Source organism: Homo sapiens, chromosome 17 (genome assembly GCF_000001405.40).
Source record: "Homo sapiens chromosome 17, GRCh38.p14 Primary Assembly".
Classification (NCBI taxonomy): domain Eukaryota; kingdom Metazoa; phylum Chordata; class Mammalia; order Primates; family Hominidae; genus Homo; species Homo sapiens.
The window spans coordinates 4287246-4311870 of record NC_000017.11 but is presented as its reverse complement, the minus strand read 5'-3'; the positions used below and the strand labels follow the sequence as shown (position 1 = coordinate 4311870).

Genomic DNA, 24625 nt, shown 5'->3' with positions numbered 1-24625 from the left:
TCCTATGTTTCTCATTTCAGTGAATGAACAGATTTCTACCCTTGCACAGAAATCTGGTGTCAGAAAAACAGGGAGGGAGGAATTGACATTATAGGTAATGGTGTTAAAGTGTACCACTCAGTGGTGTTTCGTGTATTCACGATGTTGTGCAGCCAGCCACCAGCTCGATCTAGCTTTCAGACGTTCTCATCACACCATTAAATCGCCATCCCTATACCCCTTAAGTAATTACGCCCCCTTTCTCCCTTCCCTCATTGTCTAATCTACTTTCTGTCTCTGGATTTGCCTCTTCTGGATATATCATATAGAATAAGTCATATAACATGTGACTTTATATGTCTGCTTCTTTAACTTAGCCTGATGTTACTGAGCTTCATATATTAGTACTTCATTTCTTTCTGTGGCTGAATAGTATTTCATTGTATGTATATACTGCAGTTTATTCATTTGTCGATGGACACTTGAGTTTCTGCCTTTTGATTATTACAGCAAATGCTACTACAGACATTCATGTACAACTTGCTGTGTGGACAGATGTTAGGGTATATACCTAGAAGTGGAATTGCTGGGTCATATGGTAACTCTGCTCAACTTTTTAATCATATGTCATTTTACTTTTTTTAAAAAAAATTATTTTTTAAACTGAGACAAGGTCTGGCTCTGTTGCCCAGGCTGGAGTGCCCTGGTGTCATCTGAGGTCACTGCAACCTCCGCCTCCTGGGCTCAAGTCATCTTCCCACCTCAGCCTCCCCGAGTAGCTGGGACTGTAGGTGCACATCACTGTGCCTGGCTAATTTTTGTACTCTTTTGTTTCTTTTTTTTGGTAGAGACAGGGGTTTGCCATGTTGCCCAGGCTGGCATCAAACTCCTGGGCTCAAACGATCTGCCCACCTCAGCCTCCCAAAGTTTTGGGATTACAGCGGTGAGCCACCATGCCCAGCTCATGTCATTTTTGACTTACTACTTTAAGCCCCACTTCTTTAACATCACCAGGTTAGGTTGATTGATTCTCTTCTAAATAGCCTTGTTTTCTTCATTGTTTCGACTACTATATACTCGAGGTACACTTTTCAAGATTACTTGAATTGCTTGCTTTTTGTTTCTTTGTTCTCATCATGCCTTTTTAAACAATCTTCTACATACTACAAGATTGGTTTTTGCAAATGTAAATCTCATGAGGTCACTCCATTGTTTAAAAGAAAAAGAAAAAAAGAACCACCCTTCAAAGGCTTATCATTGCCCTCTGGATAAAGTCCAAGCATGCAGGGCTTACAAAGGCCCTTTGCTGTCCAGCTTTTGACATTCTGTTTAGTTTCAGCTGCTCCCCTGCCCCCCGCCGTTCCAGTCACATACTGATTGCCCTATTTCAAGTTTTTGTACATGCTCCTCTACCTAAAGTAGGGTTCAGATTCTAAACCTTGAATTCCCTCACCCAAATCCTTTATTTCTTTTCTTTTTAGAAGCCTTTTCTTATTCTTCATGATTATGTTATGTGCCCTTCTTTTTTGTGTGCCCTCAAATTCTTGTACTGTTGTTGGAGCACATTGTAATTGCCTGTTTACTTCTCTGGGGATCAGGAGCCGATGTTGGTCAAGTGCCAGAAGATGTAGATAGACTGAAAGTACAATTAATAGGAATTTAGCAGAAGCCAAAAGATTATTTGATAAATTATTTAGGGAAGACTTCATGGAGGGGGCTAGTATTGATAGAGACCTTGAAGGAAGCATTCATGAAGGCATGGTAAGGTTCTATCACTTTAAATGGATTAAGCCTGTTAAATATTCATGCATCTAGACCTAGGAAGATTCATGCTGGGGGCTGAAGCCATGACAAAAGTGAGACATTGGACATTTTTCAACATTGCTTTTGTATTACTTACATGGAACAAGCAAAGGACACAATTATGCCTGTAGAAGAAATGCATGGAAAGAATGGGCAAAAGATTTCAAGAACTTGGGGGTTTTGACAAGAGTAAGAAGCAATGATATGCTTTATGGAAAGTGTAAGGAAATTTTCAAGGGTAATTTTGACCATGTATACTAATTTCAGAGCTTACTCACCTATGTTTATAAACCCTGGACTTCTGGTGGAAAATGCAACAACTAGGTGATTTCTGGATATATTATAGAATCTTTCACAAGACTCTTGTGTACAGTGTTGTAGAAAATGGTCCGAGTAATGTAATGGTGTTTCTCTAGAAAAAGGTTGGAAATGAGATCAGTCATGTAGAAAATAACTCCTCACAGTGCATTTGTGTGTGCTGCACTCTGTTCCTCAGTTGACAGGAAAGTGGGACTTTCTGTTTTTTAATAGAATGTCTGCAACATAGTTGGCGCTCAGTACACATATGCGTGCATAAACAAAATAACAGTGAAAATGCTGTTCCCTTCTTAATGTGTTTGCACTTTCAATATCTTTAAAAAGTATTTTAGATTAGCCACTTTAAAGTAAAAGTACATTTCTTGTGTTTTGAAATACAGAGCTGATTTTAACTATTTGTAAAAGTCTAGTTTGCCTGTTATGCAAAAATGTTAGACTTATAAAAATCTCCCCTCACATTTCAAGAAAAGAAGCACTTCATGTTTAAACATAAATTTTTTATTTTTATTTTTGAGACGGAGTCTCGCATTGTCACCCAGGCTGGAATACAGTGGCATGGTCTTGGCTCACTGCAGCCTCTGCCTTCCAGTTCAAGTGATCCTCCTGTCTCAGCCTTCTGAGTAGCTGGGATTACAGATGTCCGCCTCCATGCCCGGCCAATTTTTGTATTTTTACTAAAGACAGGGTTTCACCATGTTGGCCAGGCTGGTCTTGAACTCCTGACCTCAAGTGATCCACCCATCTTGGCTTCCTGAAAGCGTTGAGATTACAGGTGTGAGCCACCACGCCCTGCCTAAATATAAATTTTCACTATTGGCTTTCTCCTATTTTGCTGGCATGTTGTTAAATCGTAGTTGTTGAAATAATACCATCTCTTGATTTCCCCAAAAATTAATATCTCCTCAGTTACCTAAACATTGGTTCAGTCCTTTGTAGCACTCTGAGTTATATTATACTGCCTTTCATCATTAGACAAAGCTGCCTGAGAATGATGGCAGGTAGTATACGAGAATTACACACCTGTTGAGACTCCCAGCAAGTCCTTTTCAAACCACTCTACTCCTGTGTGTTCTTTGTCCACACTTTCCAATTTGAGCCAATGAGTACTCAGTTCCACTGGCCGGTAAAATGTGATAATTGTGTGGGTGATTGATACATGCATTCACTATTGTGATTGTTGTTGTGTTGGTTCCTCTGGTGTATATCAGTACTTATTAAATTGTGTGTGTGTGTTTTTTTTCTTTTTGAGATGGAGTCTTGCTCTGTTACCCAGGCTGGAGTGCAATGGCGTGATCTTGGCTTGATGCAACATTTGCCTCCCGGGTTCAAGCAGTTCTCCTGCCTTAGCCTTCTGAGTAACTGGGATTACAGGCACACACCACCATGCCCAGCTAATTTATTTATTTATATATTTTTTGAGACAGAGTTTTGCCCTTGTTGCCCGGGCTGGAGTGCAATGGCGCGATCTTGGCTCACCACAACCTCTGCCTCCTGGGTTCAATCAGTTTTTCTGCCTCAGCCTCCCGAGTAACTGGGATTACAGGCATGTGCCACTACGCCCAGCTAATTTTGTATTTTTAATAGAGACGGCGTTTCTCCATGTTGGTCAGTCTGGTCTCAAACTCTCGACCTCAGGTGGTCCACCTGCCTCGGCCTCCCAAAGTGCTGGGATTACAGGTGTGAGCCACCACGCCCGGCCAAATTGTATAATTTAAGTATGTGCAGTTCACTGAATGTCAGTTATACCTCATTAAAGTTGTTTAAAAATTTCTCACATGATCTGCTCACCATCAGGAGGCCAGTACTTTATTAAGTCTGGTGTCTCTGGAAACATTCTGGGCTCTGTACCGCTGCTCACCTGCTCCTTAAGGTCCCTGTCTTGGCCTGTGTGCCCCCACCTTGCCAGTTCCTCGCCTCTCTTGTTTCCCACCCTGTCATCCTTTCTCCATGCCACAGCACTCTCTTTAGAGGAGGAGAACCTCACGATGCTGCAGCCATTCTGTATGCTCCAGGTGTTACTCTTAAGCTGCTCCTCTGTCCCAGAAGCTGTGGCTCTCAGAGGGTCGACATATACAGACAAGACATATGGGGCCCCTGCTCTCCTTGTGCTCAGAGATGGATGGGCACACAGGAGCACCCACTGTAGAAGCAGGTCCCCAAGACTACAGGGACAAGTCAAATAGGTGTACAAATGTTAGTATAAATGAAAGTTATTAAGCGCAGTACATTCCAATGAAAAGGTATGATTAGACACTCTGAAAGTATACCCTGAAGACAGCAGCATAAGAATTGCCAACATGATTTGATTTCCAGGGCTCCCTCTCAATGAGAATCTCTGGGGGACGGGCCTGGATATCTGCATTTTAACAAGCTTCCTTAAAAGACCACTGTAGGGCCACTTAGAATGACAAGAGCCTGGCTGGATACCAGTAGAAGTTGATCTTCTGGATAGTTTGCTTTACCCAGGGCTTTCTTACAGTATAGGCATGAAAATGTTTTGGCCATCAAGTAGCATTTTGCCTGGCAAGGTATATCTATTTAATGGTTTAAAACTTACATAAAACATGTACGCTCAAGTTCTGTAATTTATCTACTGGATGCAAATTATGTGCTTAAATGTATTGATTAAACTTTTCTTTTTCCACAGAACTCAACAAAAATCCAGTGGAAGGCTTTTCTGCAGGTTTAATAGATGACAATGATCTCTACCGATGGGAAGTCCTTATTATTGGCCCTCCAGATACACTTTAGTAAGTATAATGGAACTGACATCTTCAAAATGGAGCTCTTTTAATACACTGAATTAAAAACTATTTTGGCAGGCTGGGCACGGTGGCTCACACCTGTAATCCCAGCACTTTGGGAGGCCAAGGCGGGCCGATCATGAGGTCAGGAGTTCGAGACCAGCCTGGCCAATGTAGTGAAACCCCATCTCTACTAAAAATACAAAAATTAGCTGGGTGTGGTGGCATGCACCTGTAGTCCCAGCTACTCAGGAGGCTGAGGCAGGAGAATCACTTGAACTCAGGAGGCAGAGATTGCAGTGAGCTGAGACCACGCCATTGCACTCCAGCCTGGGTGACAGAGTGAGACTCCATCTCAAAACAAAACAAAGCAAAACCACAAATATTTTGGCAAACTGACATGAAATTATTTTTTAAGGAGCAGGAGAAATGGCTGTATTCAATATCCTTTGTACTGAATTTGATCATGGAAGAGTTTTTGTGTTTTGCTTGAAGCTCTAATGTCTAAGACCTATTGCTATTAAAAATAATAGTTTCAGGCCGGGCGCGGTGGCTCATGCCTGCAATCCCAGCACTTTAGGAGGCTGAGGTGGGTGGATCACCTGAGAGGTCAGGAGTTTGATACCAGCTTGGCCAACATGGTGAAACCCCATCTCTACTAAGAATACGAAAATTAGCTGGGCATGGTGGCATGCCTGTAATCCCAGCTACCCGGGAGGCTGAGGCAGGAGAATCACTTGAACTCAGGAGGCAGAAGAGTTATATAATTTTTGGACATTTTAATTGAGAATGTATTACACACATCAGTGTTTTAAGAAGGCTAAGGAGAACTTTCAAGATCGTCTCTTTTCATGGTTCTCTACTTGAGTCCCCACCGAATACTGGTTAGAATCTAGGTGTTCTTATCCCAAACTAAACTAATGGTCACTTTCTCCTAGTTTATTGAAAGTTATTGTTATGCTCTATGATAATCTATTAACTGACTATTAATTGTTAAACCAATGGCTTAAGGATAGACAACAATGTAGTGGTGTGAAAGAGCAGTAGAAGAAGAGAAATAGAGTTTAAAAATATTTCATGTCGTACATTTCTAGATGCAAAGACCACAGTCTTCTTTTCTGCTCTGAGTGTTTGCAGACTAACTTAAATTTACTAGTATGTATTGTTTTGTAAGATGCATCTGCTGGCTTGGTGCGTTGGCTCACGCCTGTAATCCCAGCACTTTGGGAGGCTGAGGCGTGTGGATCACCTGTGGTCAGGAGTTCAAGACCAGCCTGGCCAACATGGTGAAACCCTGTCTCTACTAAAAATACAAAAATTAGCTGGGCATGGTGGCGGGCGCCTGTAGTCCCAGCTGCTCAGGAGGCTGAGGCAGGAGAATCGCTTGAATCCGGGAGGTGGAGGTTGCAGTGAGCCAAAATTACGCTACTGCACTCCAGCCTGGTGACAGAGCGAGACTCCGTCTCAAAAAAGAAAACAAAACCGTCTCTGGTCTTTGGTGTACATTTTTAAAAGTGTTGGCTGTTGAATTGAGATGTGAATCACAGCAATATTTCTGGCAGCTCTGCTGGAGTGTGTATATGCTGCTGAGAATACTGGTGGTCACTTCTGGACTGTGCCTTCCTGAGATCACTAGCCTTTGCTCAGGAAAGAGAGAGCATATTCCTAGGGCAGGACCTGAGAAAGGCAAAGGAAGGTACAGGGGAATGAAGAAAGGTTTGTTAGAAGTAAGCCTTTTAGAATGCTACCAAGAACCATGTACTTCATAGAATGCTTAAAAAATATTTGTTGTCGGCCGGGCGTAGTGGCTCACGAGGCCGAGGTGGGCAGGATCACCTGAGGTCGAGAGTTGGAGACCAGCCTGACCAACATGGAGAAACCCTGTCTCTACTAAAAATACAAAAAATTTAGCCAGGTGAGGTGGCATATGCCTGTAATCCCAGCTACTCGGGAGGCTGAGGCAGGAGAATCGCTTGAATCCAGGAGGCAGAGGTTGCAGTGAGCCGGGATCGTGTCACCCACTCCAGCCTGGGCAACAAGAGCAGAACTCTATCTAAAAAAAAAAAAAAAAAAGTTCTTAAAAAACTTCTTAGCAGAAAGTAGTGAGGTTCTTGTAATTATTTCAGTGGAATGGAGAGAGTAGAGGCCATCTTGGAATTGTTTGAAGAGCACTATTGGAAGTGAATATATACACCTTACGTTTAAATAACTGCCTGTGAAGGGAAGTAGAGGCTTGTGCTGGGGGGAGGGGTGTTATAGGATTGAAAATAAATTAGTATAGGCTCAGATGGTACCCAGACCTAAGTGATTAATTCACCACTTTATAATTAGATAATAGAAATACTGTACCAAAATTCTGTAAAAGCTGCTGTGATTATCTCTCTGTGCCATCATTAGCCCTCATGTAGTCACTAGAGGGCGCTCCACTCTCTTTTCAGTCTATGTGATTGATAACCGGTACCGTTCAAGGATTACTTTGAGACTCCTATAGTTGCCACAAGTCTTAATTCAGTCATACTCATATTTATATAGCATTACATTTTTATTTTTATTAATGAGTCTTTCCAGTGCAGTAGTCCCTAAGGCCTTTCTATGAAATGTACATTCTGAAACTGGTGTGGTATACCAACTGTTTTCAGACTGATTATCAAACAGTATGGATAACCACTCATATCCACAGAAATTAAAATTTCAGGTAGAAGTGGCAATAGGTTTGTAGTACGGAAGTTTAGGGTGGATACAGTGGCTCACGTCTATAATCCCTACACTTTGGGAGGCCAAGGGTGGATCGCTTGAGCTCAGACGTTGGAGACCAGCTTCGGCTACATGGCAAAACCCTGTCTCTACAAAAAAAAATACAAAAATAAGTCAAGCATGGTGATGCATGCCTGCAGTCAGGAGGCTGAGCCCAGGAGGTGGAGGCTGCAGTGAGCCAAGATTACGCTACTGCACTCTAGCTTGGGCAACAGAGCTAGACCCTGTCTTAAACAAACAAACAAAACCAGAAAGTCTAAGAAACCTGGATATCACTGTATCATTATAACATTTTATAAATTATTAATGAATGATGACTGTATAACTTTTATCTCTCTTTTCCTTTCATCACCAGTGGCTGGTCTGTTCAAGGAGTATGTCTTATTTATTTATTTTGTTTTTAAGCACTGGCAATGATATGAAAAATCTGGAGAATCTTAAGATTATGTGTTTTGTAGTATTGCCTTGGGTAGATATAGAAAATGAAGAATCAGTTAACCAAAACTCTGAATTACATTCTTTTACAGTTGCAAAATTCTATTCCAGTTATAAATTATTTTCCAGTCCTGTGTGAGACATAGAGGCAGAAGCCATCTCTTCTGTAATGAAGTTCTGGAGGGAATGAACCTAGTGCCTACATTGCTTGGAAATGGAATGATCAGTGGTAATGCCATGCGGTTTATCACGTAGTGTTCAAGAACATGGACTTTGGGGACTGCCTTTGGTTAGCTCTCTAACTCTACCACTCTTCTTAGTTGAGTGACTTTGAACAATTACTTAAATTTGGTCTTAGCAGTTTCATTTCTAGGGTAAAAACCCTATGCTTAGGAAATGTTTCAAATGTTCCATGTTCTATTGCTTATAATAGCAAAAAAAAAATTATTTTTTCCCCTTTTGCAGTTTTATTATTTATTTTTGTAAATGTCAATTATAATTCGAAGGACACTTTGTAGTTACTAATTAGACTATATGAAAAACTGTACAGACTGTTTGTACTATAATTTGTGTCCCTAAGAGATTAGGGGACTCAGTAACAGAAAAATCAACTCAGAAGGGTCACTGCTCAGCAGTCCACATAACCACATAGTAGAGCCCAAGCTACTGGTTGTGAGTAGAAAGAGACTTCATACAAATATCTTCACATGTCTTCTAGCATTATGCCCCTACCAGGAAAGGGAATGTCTGTCACAATTTTTTTTTTTTCTGCTGTAAGATAAAGAAAAGGCTGTATCCCTTAGACACATACTTAATGAAGACAATCTCAAAAGAAGCTCCTGTGTTTTTCTGTTTTCACTGTTCTTTTCTGAAGTTCACCTGGATGTTCCAGAGCAGTTTTCTAAACCTTTCATTGTTGGTTGGCCTTTTGTAGAATTCTTCAGCAACACACAATACAGAAGACACAGGCTAAAATAGTTCTCACAAATACACTTTGAAATAGGTGTATTTGGATATAAATACAACTTGCCATTCCATTATTTTTTTTCTCATGACTAAACTCTAAATTTTTAAAAATGGAGATTTTCAAACCAGTGATGTGCAAAAGCCCATTCTCATGACACAGTCATTTAAACTTATTAAGTATGGGAAAATTTTATTTCTTCCCTTTGTCTTGTGGAATAATTTAGGTTCTCACCCTGGGCATGATTCACAAAATAGAGTAAGACCACAGATAAAAGTCACATAGAATCACAGGCAATGAAGAAAACTTCTAAAAACAAATATCCCCCAGTGTCCAGTATCATCCATCCCAGCAGTGATGGAAATGATGGCCACCCCAAGATTCTGAATGGAGTGCGTGAAGCCATATGCAGTTCCCAGTTGATGTTCAGGAACTACAGATGCCACTGTTGGCCAAAATGCACAGGCAAGCGATGAATAGGAGATTCCCAGAAGACACAGCAACCCAAGGGCTCCACATCATAAAGGCCAGCATCATGTGGGACACAAGAGTGGCTGCAACCACACGCAGAACCCAGATGCTGTTCTTCCCCGTGTCATCCACTGGGAGCCCAAATACTGGGGTGTGGGAGCTGATAACGACATATACAACACTGTTCATTGCACTTGCTGCCTGGAAAGAAAATCCAAATTTGTCTGTAAAGAAAACTTTCCCAAGTCCAATAAAAGGGAACATGGCAACACAATAGCAGACACAGATGATAAATATGAGCCACAGGGGTAAGGAGAAATCCTTTACATCAGTTAATGTAAAAACTTCCCCCCCCTTTTTTTGTTGTTGTTGTTCTTTATGAAGGATTCTCTCTGCTCTCGCATCTAAGTAAGCAAGAGCCAAGGAAGGCACAGATTAGTGAAAGAATACATTTTATACCCCCAATCTTAAGTGTGACCCCAGGGGTTGTGTGACCAGCAGAACCCCACGAAGCTTCAATCTTAGAATACAGCCAACTCACGAAGTTCATGTTTACCGTACTTCCAATTCTAGCCATGCTAAATTGTTGGAGTCCAGACACCAGGTTTAATTCTTTGTCTTTAAACCAGCTGACAGCATATGTCCTGGGCAACTGCTGAGCACTCCCCACCAATCCAAACACAAGTCTTTCAAATTCCATCAGCCAAAAAACATTAAATATTCCACCCAGAACAAAACAACCTGTCCAGTGCAAATAAAACAGCTAAAAGTAATTGTGCCCCATCATATTCCAAATACTCGGTCTTTTAAAAAGCCACCAAAGAAACACAAAACTACATTGGGCCAAGAATACCAGGCATATAGCAGCATGAATTTCATGGTGTTCACCTGCCTGTTCCGTTTATCCTGAGTCTGAAGGGCAGCAGGATTATTATAGCAAAAATAGCTGCTGAAGCCAAGGAAACACATCAATAACAGCATCAAAAGTCATAGCCAGGTGACTGGAGGCCACAGAAGGGCCAGCAGCACCCATGCTTTCTCATCCTTCTCCTCCATTGCGCCCGTGGGAGGCTGAGAGGCAAAAGGGGTGACAACTCCAGGACCTGGCAGAAAAGCAGTGCCCACGGAGCACAGCCAAGTCAGTGATCACATGACTATGTGATTCTGACTATCATAGAATAATAGTGAACTGTGGCGGATAGAATGAATGGACAAGAGACAGCTACAACAGGACTATAGATTAATAGAACAATGTTGAGCAAATTGCAGACGGCAGCATACAGCACATTATTTACATAAAATAAATATGGCAGTATGGTAGGATTTGATCCTTGTAAGATTTTTATAATTTAACTCAAAAACAGTAATGGAGGCCTCATGGAAAAAAATTGAACTAGGCCTGGGTTTTTAAACACTTTCAAATGTGAAACTGCTGGTTACATATCTCTCTCTCTCTTTTTTTTTTGTTTGAAAACAGAGTCTGACTCTGTTGCTCACTGCAACCTCCGCCGCCTGGGTTCAAGTGATTCTCCTACCTCAGCTTCCTGAGTAGCTGGGATTATGGGCACCTGTCACCATGCCTGGCTAATTTTTGTAGTTTTTAGTAGAGATGGGATTTCACCATCTCGGCCATGCTGGTCTTGAACTCCTGACCTCATGATCTACCCGCCTCAGCCTCCCAAAGTGCTGGGATTACAGGTGTGAGCCACCGTGCCCGGCCTACATACCTCTTTTTAATATCATGATAGTACTTATACTATAGCATCTGTGATGAAGATAATATGTAATGAAAGATATTTTGAATTAATTGGTGCCTTTTTAAATTTTATTTTATTTATTTATTTATTATTATTATTTTTGGAGACAGAGTCTTGCTTTGTGGCCCAGGCTGGAGTGCAGTGGCACAATCTTGGCTCATTGCAACCTCTGCCTCCCAGGCTCAAGCCATTCTCCTGCTTCAGCCTCCTGAGTAGATGGGATTACAGGCACCTGCCACCACGCCTGGCTAATTTTTGCATTTTTAGTAGAGACGGCGTTTCACCATATTGGTCAGGTTGTTTTCGAACTCCTGACCTCAAGTGATCCGCCCGCCTCAGCCTCCCAAAGTGCTGGGATTACAGGCGTGAGCCACCTTGCCTGGCCACAGTCACATCTTTCTATATTTGAAAAATAGTGGATATGTGACATGTTAATGTGTAGTCTACAGTGTTATTCTACTCTATGGGTTTTGGGCTTTCTCTTTGCTAACTTGGCTGCTCGGTAGAAGTTTGCACGCACAAGTTGGGTACTAGTTAGTTAAGCATCAAAAAAAAAAAGCAGGTAGGCCAGGTGCGGTGGCTCAGAAGGTCAGGAGTTCAAGACCAGCCTGGCCAACATAGTGAAACCCCGTCTCTACTAAAGATACAAAAATTAGCGGGACGTGGTGGTGTGCGCTTGTAATCCTAGGTACTTGGGAGGCTGAGGCAGGAGAATCTCTTCAACCCGGGAGGCAGAGCTTGCAGTGAGCCGAGATCACGCCACTGCACTCCAGCCTGGGCGACAGAGCAAGACTCCATCTCCAAAAAAAAAAAAAAAACTAAAAAAAGGAAAAGAGGGGAGGGGCAGGTAGAATTTCCACAGGTAAAATAGAAGAAGAGGGGTCCACAGATAGGAGAAAAACTCAGAAATGCTATGGTTGCTTCAGAGTGGGCAAGGCCATTTTCAGATAGAGTGAAAATTGTGTGCTTTAAATTTTTAGGGCTACTCTTTTAGTTGAATTTGGTTGACATTTTAGAGATTGAAAACAATTTAGAGGGTCTAAGTCAGTTTTTCATGATGAGGATTCCAGTCAGCTATTATGAAGCTTTTTAGTGAATGTAACCAATCAAAAGTAAGTGACGTGGGAAAGCTGACTTAATGTTGTCAAGGAATCAAGTGGCAAGTGGCTGCCAGTAGAATCAAGTGCAGGGGCTTTGTGGCAGTGGCTTTGATGTCCTTTTACATTGACTCTTTTTTTGTTGTTGTTGAGACAGAGTCTCACTCTGGCACCCACGCTGGAGTGCAGTGGCACAATCTTGGCTCACTGCACCCTCCACCTCCCAGGTTCCAACAATTCTCCTACCTCAGCCTCCCAAGTAGCTGGGATTACAGGTGCACGCCACCATGTTTGGCTGTTTTCTGTAATTGTGGCTTTCAAACCCATAATTAGAAATACTTTACATCATGACGCAGTGCATACATATGTATATATAGATTAGTGAATAAAACACATACATAGATTATATAACTGAAACTACTTGTGATAAACTCTGTTTTCTATTTTTGTTAACAAAAAAACTTTGATAGTGACTCATTAAATTGCTTTTGCAGCCCTGTTTGAAAAACTAGTCCATGTAATCAGTATATCCTAAGACCCATTTTGGCACTAACTTACACAGAGCAACAGGATCAGTAGATAAAGACTTAACTCTTTTTGGTGTAATGCACTCTTCACAACAGCTATTCCAGTCTCTATTCCCTCAAGCCCTCATGCTTCTTCCTTTCAATAGATAACCTCATCAGTTGTGAAAAGTAAGGCGCTATGGTGGGCCTTACTTCATTTCTACATTTCTTCGAATATCTCTTTTAAAGCGCTTGTTTTGTACAGTTTCCCCATCTAGTTACTATCTTCAACTGTTAAATTTTTTGTATAAATTGTCCTGTTTATTATGCTTAAGTACTTTACTACCCTGTTCTTTAACCCTTTACAGCTTTTTTTCCTATTGCTTTTTACTAAAAAAATTGTATTATCAAGGTCACTGACTTTATACTCTGAGTCCTGTGGCATTTCCTAATTATTCAGAAATGTTTGGTGTTAATGATCTGTCTCTTTTTTTAAACTTAATCTGCACCTTCCCCATGTCTTATGATCAGAAAAAGCAATAAAAATTCATACTTGCTTGTGAACAGTTCAAGCTATATTAAAAAGAGCAGAGAGTAAAAGATCTCGTAACACTAACTATTGTTAGTTAACTATTGTTATGTATTGATGTCCTGTTTCTGGACATTTTTCTATGTGTATACAAACACACCCCCAATTTTTCACTTGTTCTTTCCTTTCTTTTCTTTTTTCTTTTCCCAGGCTGGAGTGCAGTGCAGTGGTGCAATCACAGCTCTCTGAAGCCTCAACTTCTTGGGCTGAAGGGATCCTTCCCCCCTCAGCCTCTCAAGTAGCTAGAATTACAGGCATGAGCCACTGTGTCCGGCCTCCCACTTTTTCTTTAAAGACAAATTAGCTTGTTTTAGAAATACCTGCTTTTAAAAATGTAACAATAGATTCCTCATATCATTCCATGACAACACTTACTACTGATATTTTTCTTGGTAGATATTTTCCTTCTGCCACTAAAATGATAAGCTCCACAGTGCTCTTTAATGCTTTGTTCTCTGTTGTATCCTTTTACGTAGACCAATGGTTAGAGTAACTGGGTAATCAATGTATATTTGTTCAGTGAATGAAAACCATTTAATGAGCTGAGAATTTCATTTCTCACTGATCTGAAACAACCACAATCATGATTCTAATGGTTGGACACATTGAACAACAGAAGAATCAGATGTGCAAATGGTACTGCAATAAAGAAATTTAAAGAGGTCAATGTACTAGAAGGGACCTGGTGGCTAGTTTAGATTTTAGTCAAATAAAATCTTTCTAGAGGTAACGTTTAAGCTGAGTACCGAATGATAATCAGAAGACAAAGGGAGAAAAGTATTTCCAACAGAGGAAATATTTAGTACCAAGGCCGCAAGACAGAAATTTAGTATTTTTGCCCTTTAAGGCTGACTTGATCTCTGTGGTTTTAGTTAATGTATACAACTCATTGTATTGTTCTTTTGATGATTCCTTAAGAATGACTGCTGATTAAGTGTCAGTGATCTGGAGGTGTATTGTCTAAAATAGCAGTCACAGGGCATATTTCAAGTGGTTGGTGGCTACATTATTGGACAGCACAAATACAGAACATCTCCAGCATTACAGTTTGGTTTTACAGTGCTGTTCTGGAAAGTCACTCTTGAGATTTTTTTTGCTGCTATACCCCTGGAGTTTGACACATAAATGCCGAGTAAATACTTGTTAAATGATGAAATGAATAAATGGATAGATGGAGGCAATATATCTATTCCTAGATAAGGAAAAAGAAAATGTCCATAAGTTTTGAGATGAGAAAGGGTTTGATGTGTTTGAGGAATAGAAAGACGACTGGCTAGTTTCAAATCAACATAGAGAAATTGGTGATGTTAAACCTTCTGAATTTTGTTTTAAGTGCACTGGGAAGTGATGGAAGGGTTTGTAGCATAGCAGTAATATGATCTGATCTGATCTGGTGTGAATGTCTTTTTAGCAGATGATTTCATTTTACCAGCTCTCTTGAAAGTTTAATCAATGTGATAGCCATGACAGTTTATTAAACTACTTATTTGAGAAAGTAACTGCCTGTGGGAATCCAGATTATTTGTTTACTTCATTTTTGATGTTAGTGCTAGCACCCTTGTTTTATATTTGTTTTAACACTTCTATACTTAAAAGCAGGAACTTATAGGCAAGAACTTCTTTTTGTTCTTTTTTCCAGTGAAGGTGGTGTTTTTAAGGCTCATCTTACTTTCCCAAAAGATTATCCCCTCCGACCTCCTAAAATGAAATTCATTACAGAAATCTGGCACCCAAATGGTAAGTTTATCTAGTTTTACTTTTACATTTGCAGATTTGATGGCCTGTTATTGAAGTGTTCAAGGTCAATAAGAAAGATCTGTTTCTCAGTGAAATTGCTTTGGCATTTTTGTACTGTTCATTGTGCACATGGCTGTGTACTAAAACCTTTAAAAGGAGGAGAGGCCAGGTGCAGTGGCTCACACCTGTAATCCCAGCAGGCCAGGCAGGCGGATCACTTGAGGTCAAGAGTTGGAGACCAGCCTGGCAAACATGGTGAAACCCCATCTCTACTCAAAATACAAAAATTAGTTAGGCATGGTGGCACACACCTGTAATCCCAGCTACTTCGGAGGCTGAGGCACAAGAATCGCTTGAACCCGGGAGGTGCAGGTTGCAGTGAGCCAAGATCACACCACTGCACTCCAGCCTGGGCAGCAGAGTGAGACCGTGTCCCAAAAAAGAGAAGGAGAAACAGAGATCATGTGGAAAAAGTTATTTTTTATTTATTTACTTAGTTTTCAGTTTGGTTTGAGACTCGTGTTTTAAACCAGAGGGCATGGTTACTGAGGGATAACATCAATAGAACTCCTATAATTGAGGGGATAATTATCAAGGTATTAGATGATTCACTGGCTATTACAAAGAACACAGAAATTATGAAACCTGGTTCTGTAACTTATAGTTTTTCATATTATTTTTATACCATGGACAACTCTTCTATGTGTATTCATAGGTGTAAGATTACTGGCAGTGTCATATGAAACAACGTATTACATTTTTTAAGCCTGGAAAGCATCTAGTATGGCTGTGCACGTAGTGATGACATTGACTTTTTTTACTTAAAGAAGAGCTACCACTTCAAATCCACACGGTGGCAGTTCTCCTGCCTAGCCAGCTGCCACTGGACTCTCTCCCCTGTATATAAGCCCCCAATAACTACGTCTTATTTAAAAATTAAAAAAAAAATTCTCTATAAAGTAAAATAAAGTCCCCAAAGTTTAGGCCAGATAAGCTATATTTATAAAACAGTCTCTCTGAACTTTTGGCTTTGTTTTGTATGATAGAACTTGCAGAGATTTCTTTTCTAATTATTTTGACTATGTAATCAGAGTTGTCTCTTTAGGCTATTATACTAATTTGCATTTGGCTTCGCATCATCAAGACTTCTGGGTGCAGGGAATAGAAACATATAGATTAGTTTAAGCTGGAATCAGCGAGACAGGAATGAATGATTGAATGAAGTTAAACAAGGATTTATCGGAAGGATATGGAATACGTAATAGAAGCCAAGGCTTGAAAACCAGATGGGCATTAGGAGAGACTGGAACTGGCAAATGGAGAACTACTGGGAGCCAAGGGACTTAGCGTATTTTATTGCATCTAAGGCAGCAGTGATCGTAAAAGATAGTGATTTTTCCTACCAGTAAGAAGAGGAAAATATCTCTAACAGTTGATGGCAGAATGCATTAACCGTATTCCTGCATGATGCGGGCATGCATGAATGGGTGACGCTTGCCTCTTGTGCTTTGGCTTTTCTTTTATCTCTTCCTAGGCTTTCGACAGTTTCTTCTACCTTCACTTGCATTACTTGATTATAATAGGCAATCGTTTTGCACCTATTTCGAAGATGTAACAGATTCTGAATGTTGGCTTCACCACAGACTAGCTGTGTAACTCTAGGCAAACCCTGTTGGAGCCTTAAGCTAGCTAGCTTGCCTTCCTCCCTCCCTCCGTCTCTCCTTCCCCCACTCTGCCCCTCCTTTTCCCCTTCTCTCCCTCTCTCGCTCCCTCCCTCCCTCACGTACGTTTCTCCCATTCCGTCCTTTTTTTCTAAGACAGGGTCTCACTCTGCCACCCAGGCTGCAGTGCAATGGCATGATCACAGCTCACTGCAGCCTTGACCTCCTGGGCTCAAGTGATCCTCCCAAGTAGCTGGGATGACAGGGACACGCCACCACACCCAGCTAATTTTTGTTTTTTTTTGTAAAGACGGGGTTTCACCATGTTGTTGGCCAGGCAGGTCCTGAACTCCTGGGCACAAGTGATCTGCCCACTTTGTCCTCCCAAAGTACTGGGATTACAGGCATTAGCTACCACGCCAGGCCTATGTTTTCTATCTGTGAAAATTAGATGAAAACATACATGTAAGCAAATACATGGGAGACTTCCCTTCTGGTAAAAAGAAAGAGAGCAATCACCTAGGTAGTTTAAGAGGACAGCTGATAAAATGGTGGTGTGTTTTGTTTTAAGGTTGAAGAGACTTTTTTTTCTTTTCTTTTCTTTTCGTTTCTTTCTTTTTTTTTTTTTTTTTTTTTTTTTGAGACGGAGTCTCACTGTCTCGCCCAGGCTGGAATGCAGTGGGACTATCTTGGCTCACTGCAACCTCTGCCTCCTGGGTTCAAACGATTCTCTTGCCTCAGCCTCCTGAGTAGCTGGGATTACAGGTGTCCACTACCACGCCTGGCTAATTTTTGTATTTTTAGTAGAGTCGGGGTTTCACCATGTTGGACAGGCTGGTCTTGAACTCCTGACCTCATGTGATCTGTCTGCCTCAGCCTCCCAAAGTGCTGGGATTATAGGCGTGAGCCACGCGCCTGGTCTTAGATGGAATTTTGAATGAAGATGATGCTTGGCTTGAACTTCATTCTTTAGGCTGTGAGGACTCATTTAATTCATGACATTTAAAGCTGTACATATTGTCATGACAAAAAGAGAAAATGACAAAAAATAAAAAAGCTATGTAATAGGTTTCTCTTATATTTTCCTTCTTGAAAGATTACACTCATAGAAGATTGGAAGGGGAAGTCAGAGAGATAGCAGGGAGGTAGAGCATTTTAGCAATAATTTGAGTAAAAAACAATAAAAACTTGAACTAAGAATAGTGTTGCAGGAAGGGTAATTTAGTTTCTTTGACTTGACTGCCAGAGGTGAATGGTAAAGGAGAAGTAAGAGTTTAGGATTGACTGGCCATTTACAAAAATAATTATAGAGTGAAAACCATAATGAAATACCACTTTTTACCCACTAGGATTCCTATAATCAAAAAGATAATAACAAATGTCAATGAGGAAGTAGAGAAATTAGAACTCCCATGCACTACTGGCAAGAAGGTAAATGGTGCGGGTGTTTGGAGAAGAGCCTGGCAGTCCTCAAAAGGTTAAGCATAGTTACCATAGGACCCTGCACTTCCATCCTAGGAACCTAACCAAGAAAACTGAAACACATGTCCAGAAAAACTCGAACACGAGTGTTCACAGCAGCATTTATTATTCATAACAGCCAAAAAGTAGAAACAGCCCAAATGTCTATCAGCTGATAAATAGAAAAACAAAATGTGGACCCATATAACGGAATATTATTTGGCAATAAAAAGAAATGAATTACATGATATTGTTTTCTAAAGAAAAGAAAGAAATGAAGTAGTGATACTTGCTACAACATAGATGAACCTTGGAAACATTATATTAAGTGAACAAAGTCAGTCGTAAAAGGTGACATAGTGTACGATTCCCTTTATATGAAATGTCAAGAATAGACAAATCCATAGAGACCGAAAGTAGGTTAGTGGTTCCCTACTGCTGGAGGGGAGGTGGGGGGGATTGAGGAATGGTTGCTAACTGGTACTGCGTTTCATTGTAGGGTGAAAAAATACTCTAAAATTGATTGTGGTATTGATTGTACAACTCTGTAGACATACTAGACAGAAACCATTAAATCGTGCTTTTCAAATAGGTGAATTGTATAGTAGGTGAGTTATAGAGATGTTATAAAATTATTATAGGGGAATAGTTTTATGTGACTGACCTTACATATATTCAGCTTTTCTTGAGGTATACTTGCTACACCCAGTTAGATAATTAGTTAAACCAGTCCAGGGTTCAGCAATGAGCTTAAGGGCCTTGGAAGTTACTGTATCAGGATGATAGATAACATGATAATGAATGGGTTAGTTTTCCTACGGAAAATATAGTTAATGTTGGAGATTAGGATAACATCAAAAGTCAAATTAAGGAAAATGAAAACTAGAAAGTGACTGAGAGAATGTTCAAGAACCAGGGGAAAACAAGAGTACCACAGATGCCAGGGGAGGAAAATGTATCCAGCAAAGTGTTGTCACAGTATTAGTTGTCTTGGCCCAGAGGGGTGACTTCAGGTAGCTGAAAGTACCCAGGAGAATAAATATGCTATCCAGACCACTTGTGGACACAGTTGTAGCATCCTGCTAGGGAGAAGCCAGTTTCTAGGAGAATAAAGGAATACCTGAGTAGTAAGTAAATAGAGAAGATGAGGGTAAATCAGTTTTTCAGAATTTTAGGTGCATGGCCTCAAGAAAAAGGAGGTAGCTAGAAGTATATGCATTGTTTAGGCAGCTTAGTTTTGTTTGTTTGGTTTTGGTTTGGGTTTTTTTTTTTTTTTTTTTGAGACAGAGTCTCACTCTGTCGCCCAGGCTGGAGTGCAGTGGCTCACTGCAACCTCCGCCTCCCAGGTTCAAGCAATTCACCTGCCTCAGCCTCCCGAGTAGCTGGGATTACAGGTGCGTGCCACCAAGCCCGGCTAATTCTTGTATTTTTATTAGAGATGGGTTCACCATGTTGGCCAGGCTGGTCTCGACCTCAGGTGATCCGCCCGCCTCAGCCTCCCAAAGTGCTGGGATTACAGGCCAGCCATACATTACAGTGGGCCGAGCCACTGTGCCCGGCCCAGGTAGCTTAGTTTCATCTCTAATGAACACTGAAATGAAAGAAAAAAGTAACAAGCAAAAATTATATGGGGAAAACTAAGAAACACCGTGGCAAGAGGAAAGTAAACATTAAGTACATAACTGGCTAAAGGATAAGAACAGACATTTCACAAAAGAGGAAGGACATACAGGTTATATCCATGGAAAGTTGTCACCCCAAAAGCATTTAGAAAAGTGAATTAAACCAGATGTTATATATGAAATTTAAACAGCATCAATAAAGGAAAATGTTCATCCTGAGGAGGCAATGAAATGGCCATCTCAGATTGCTGATGGCAGTATAAATTGATACAATCCTTTAAAATATGGTTTGATAATAGGTATTAAGCCTAAAAATCTTCTCATTCTAAAATAAATGGTATGTTTAAAATGACATGAGAAGGTTAAAAATGTAAAGATCCTGGATTAGTGATAACTTGATTTTTTTTAAAAAGGAAAATGGATCTTATATAGTGGTGGTAGAATTCTGTACACATATTTAATAGCATGTTTTTAAAGAAAAATGACTTGGAAAAAATCCTTATTACACAGTAAGTACAGAAAACATTGTAAAATAGTAATACTCTATGAAATTTTTATGCTGAATTTTGTAGTGTTACAAGTTTTGATGTTATTCCTTTTTTTTTTTTTTTTTTGAGATGGAGTTTCGCCCGTTGCCCAGGCTAGACTGCAGTGGTGTGATGTTGGCTCATGGCAACCTCTGCCTCCCGGCTTCAAGCAATTCTCCTGCCCCAGCCTCCCAAGTAGCTGGGATTACAGGCATGTGCCACAACAGCCAGCTAATTTTGTATTTTTAGTAGAGATGGGATTTCTCCATGTTGGCCAGGCTGGCCTCAAACTCCTGACCGCAGGTGATCTGCCCTCCTCGGCCTCCCAAACTGTTGGGATTACAGGCGTGAGCCACCACGCCCGGCCCTCGGTGTTATTCTGGCCCTGATTCTATTTTAGTAAATAGATTTTACTAGCAGATAGGGATGGGTTGGGAAGAGGAACCTTAATTATAGAAAACCTCATACATAAAACATTGAAGGCACGGGCCTTGCCTGTCATATATTCACTGCTGTACTTCTCTGTCAGATGTGTGCCTGGCATGCAGTAGGCATTGAAAAAGTATTTGTCGGCCAGCGCAGGGGCTGTTTCCTGTAATCCCAGTTTGGGACCAGCCTGGGCAATATAGTAAGACTATATCTCTACCAAAAAAAAAAAAAAAAAAAGCCAGGAATGGTGCCATGTGCCTATGGTCCCAACTACTTGGGAGGCTGAGGTGGGAGGATCACTAGAGCCCAGGAGTTTGAGACCAGCCTGGGCAACATAGTGAGACCCCCATCTCTACCAAAAAAAAAAAAAAAGTCAGGTTAGCCAGGCATCATGCCATGTGCCCATGGTCCCAGCTACTTGGAGGGCTGAGGCAGGAGGATCGTTTGAGCCTGGGAGGTCAAGGCTGCATAGAGCTGTGATCATACCACTACACTCCAGCCTGGGTGACAAAGTGAGGCCCTGTCTCAAAAAACCAAAACAGCAACAACAGACAACACCAAAAAATAAGAATTTGTTGAATTAAGAGAGCAATGATATTGATTGGTAGATACAAACTTTGATTCTGATTACCCAGAGTTCATAACAGCAGAAATACTGATGTTATGAAACGAAAAATAAGATTTAGCATTATATTTATTCACAAATTTGTTAGACTATATAGGATAAGTTAGGAATGAAATATACATAAACATTGTCACTACTCAAATTCCTTTCTAAAATTTCTTCCTCAAAGTATGATTTTTAAAAAAATTTACGGTGGGTAAATGTTACCATAAAAGATTAGTTTCACAATAGGGATTATTTATATGATGTATAAATGAATTAGTGGATTAGGACCTTTTTTTAATGAATAAGTAATATTTTACTTTTTTGCTAAACTGCTTAAATAGTTATGTCAATACATGTCTCCTAAAAATAAGGATGTTTTCTTATTAAATGTGTTTATAGAAAGGAGGCCTCTTGAGTGTCGTATATGTTGATGAGTTTTCATTGGCAGTATGGCATGTTTGTTTTGTGAATTTGAATATACTCCTTTCTCAGAAAATACAATTTTGGCTTTATATGATTGTAAAAATATATTTCTTAGGAATAGTCTCTGGGCCTTTGACTATTACCAATTTAAGTCGGTAAGTTAGTGGGGAAACTAGGAGGCCATTACATAGAAACTCAGTTGCTAGTTTTTGGAAAAATATGCTTTCTGCAAATGAAGAACACATCCAATAGTTGCTATTTATTCATTTATTATATTATACTTAAGACATGTAAATGTTAGGCACCATCTACGTGCTAGATATCTTCATGTTTTACATAAATGAAAAAGATAGCTTGTATTCCTATTGGGTTTGTCAGATGGATCCTGTGTATGTAGTACAATCTATACTATAGTCTTCTTAAAAAGTCAACACATTGCATTTTGGACATTAACTTCTGCGTATGTGTCATGTTTGATAAAGGTACTGTGTGAATCAGGATCACATTTGTAATTGATATTTCATGTATAACCAAATTAGTAATATATGAAACAAGCCTCTTCTTGAATTTTGCAGTTGATAAAAATGGTGATGTGTGCATTTCTATTCTTCATGAGCCTGGGGAAGATAAGTATGGTTATGAAAAGCCAGAGGAACGCTGGCTCCCTATCCACACTGTGGAAACCATCATGATTAGTGTCATTTCTATGCTGGCAGACCCTAATGGAGACTCACCTGCTAATGTTGATGCTGCGGTAAGGTGGTCACACGTCTTCCCTTCCCTTCACTTTCCCTTGTAATAAAACCTGAACTATAGTTAGTATGTATGTAAGTATGCATGAATGTATGCATGCGTGTGTGTGTGTGTGTGTGTGTGTATCTCTTCCCATAGTTCTTATTTTTGACAAAATAAATATATTTATTTACGTATTTATTTTATTTTTTTTGAGACAGGGTCTCTCTGTCACCTAGGCTGGAGTGCAGTGGCACAATCATAGGTCACTGCAACCTCAAACTCCTGGGCCCAAGTGGTCCTCCAGCCTTGGCTTCCCAAATTGTTCCGATTACATGTGTGAGCCACCATGCCTGACCAAAAGTGCATATTTATTGTATACAACATGTTGTTTTGAAATATGGATATGTTGTGGAATGGCTAATTTGAGCTAATTCACATATGCATTACCTCACATACTTACTAATTTTATTGTGAGAACACTTAAATTCTCCTCTCAGCAGTTTTCAAGAATACTATACGTCGTTATTAGGATGTAAACTGTGACACCAAATTTAGAATTGGGGGTGGAATGGGCAGAGCAGAAGTGTAGTTTTTCAATGCAATCAGATTTTTATCAGCTTAAAATGGCTTGTCGTAACTGTGAAATTTTTTTGTAAGCCTCATTTTAACCACAGAGCAAAGTCCTACAGTAGTTAACACAAAAGATAAAAAGTAAGGAATCGGGGCTGGGCACGGTGGCTCACAACTGTAATCCCAGCACTTTGGGAGGCCGAGGCGGGTGGATCACGAGGTCAGGAGATTGAGACCATCCTGGCTAACACGGTGAAACCCCGTCTCCATTAAAAATACGAAAAATTAGCCGGGCGTGGTGGCGGGCGCCTATAGTCCCAGCTACTCGGGAGGCTGAGGCAGGAGAATCACTTCAACCTGGGAGGCAGAGGTTGCAGTGAGCCGAGATCTGGACTCTAAAAACAAAAGCGATTGTCATACCTAAGACAATTTAATGCCTGGTCTGAAGTTCATATTATTATCCCCAAGTTTTCAATTTTCAAAAGTTTCACATCTATAGAAAAAAATGTATTAGTTAAATGAACACCAGCATACCTTTCACCTAGGTTCACCAGTTGTAGAAATTTTGCAACTTTTTTTCCTAAACAGTTTGAGAGTAGTTTATAGATACCATAACCCTTCACCCCAAAATGTTTCAGGATCTGTTCCCTAAGAACAAGGCTGTCTTTCCATATACACAGTACAAGTCTGTCGTTAATGTAGTACTATTATTGTTTATGCATATATAATCTATATTCACATTGGATTGGATTGTCCAGTATTCTTTATAGCTGCCACGCCCCTATCCTGCAGTTTTTTTTTTCTTTTTAAATCCAGAGGCTAGTCTAGGAACCTCTGTTTTATTTGTATTCAAGTTTTATTAGTCGGCTTTAATCTAGAATAGTTCCTAGTTCCTTAGCCTTCTCTCCTTCTTTGAAAAGCCTTTTTTTCTTATTCTTAGAACCTTTGTTAGTACTATATACCAAAGCCAGGGCATAAAATTTACCTTTTTTCTTAGGTTAATAACAACTTGGGTGGAATCTTATATACAGACTGAGACACTATAGATAACTCCCTTTGAAAGCTATGACTGAAATTAATAATAGAATTGAACTAAAAACTGGCAGAAAACTATCTATTTAATCAAGTATTAGTCTAAACAATGTAAGACATGATAAGGGAGAAGGGGTGATAGCTGCATTAAAAGAAATCCTAGGAAATCATTTTGAGAGAGACCTGATGAATGTTTATATGGTTCATGCTCAACTATCAGCAATTTTAATAATAAGATCAGAGTTGGCCAGGCGTGGTGGCTCACACCTGTAATCCCAGCCGTTTGGGAGGCCGAGGTGGGCAGATCACAAGGTCAGGAGTTCGAGACCAGCCTGGCCAAAGTGAAACCCCGTCTTAACTAAAAATACAAAAAAATTAGCCAGGCGTGGTGGCAGGCGCCT

At 40.3% G+C, this 24625-nt stretch overlaps 1 protein-coding gene and 1 pseudogene across 1 annotated transcript in view; one reads left to right on the top strand and one right to left on the bottom strand.

Moving 5' to 3' along the window:
- Nucleotides 1-24625, top strand: part of UBE2G1 (ubiquitin conjugating enzyme E2 G1) — a 97417-nt gene that overhangs the window by 54805 nt on the left and 17987 nt on the right. Inside the window, exons 2-4 of the mRNA NM_003342.5 lie at nucleotides 4748-4850; nucleotides 15057-15154; nucleotides 22463-22641. Coding sequence (NP_003333.1) covers nucleotides 4748-4850; nucleotides 15057-15154; nucleotides 22463-22641 — 380 coding nt within the window. The remainder of the gene's footprint in view (nucleotides 1-4747; nucleotides 4851-15056; nucleotides 15155-22462; nucleotides 22642-24625) is intronic.
- MFSD1P1 (major facilitator superfamily domain containing 1 pseudogene 1) lies at nucleotides 8489-10624 on the bottom strand (annotated as a pseudogene).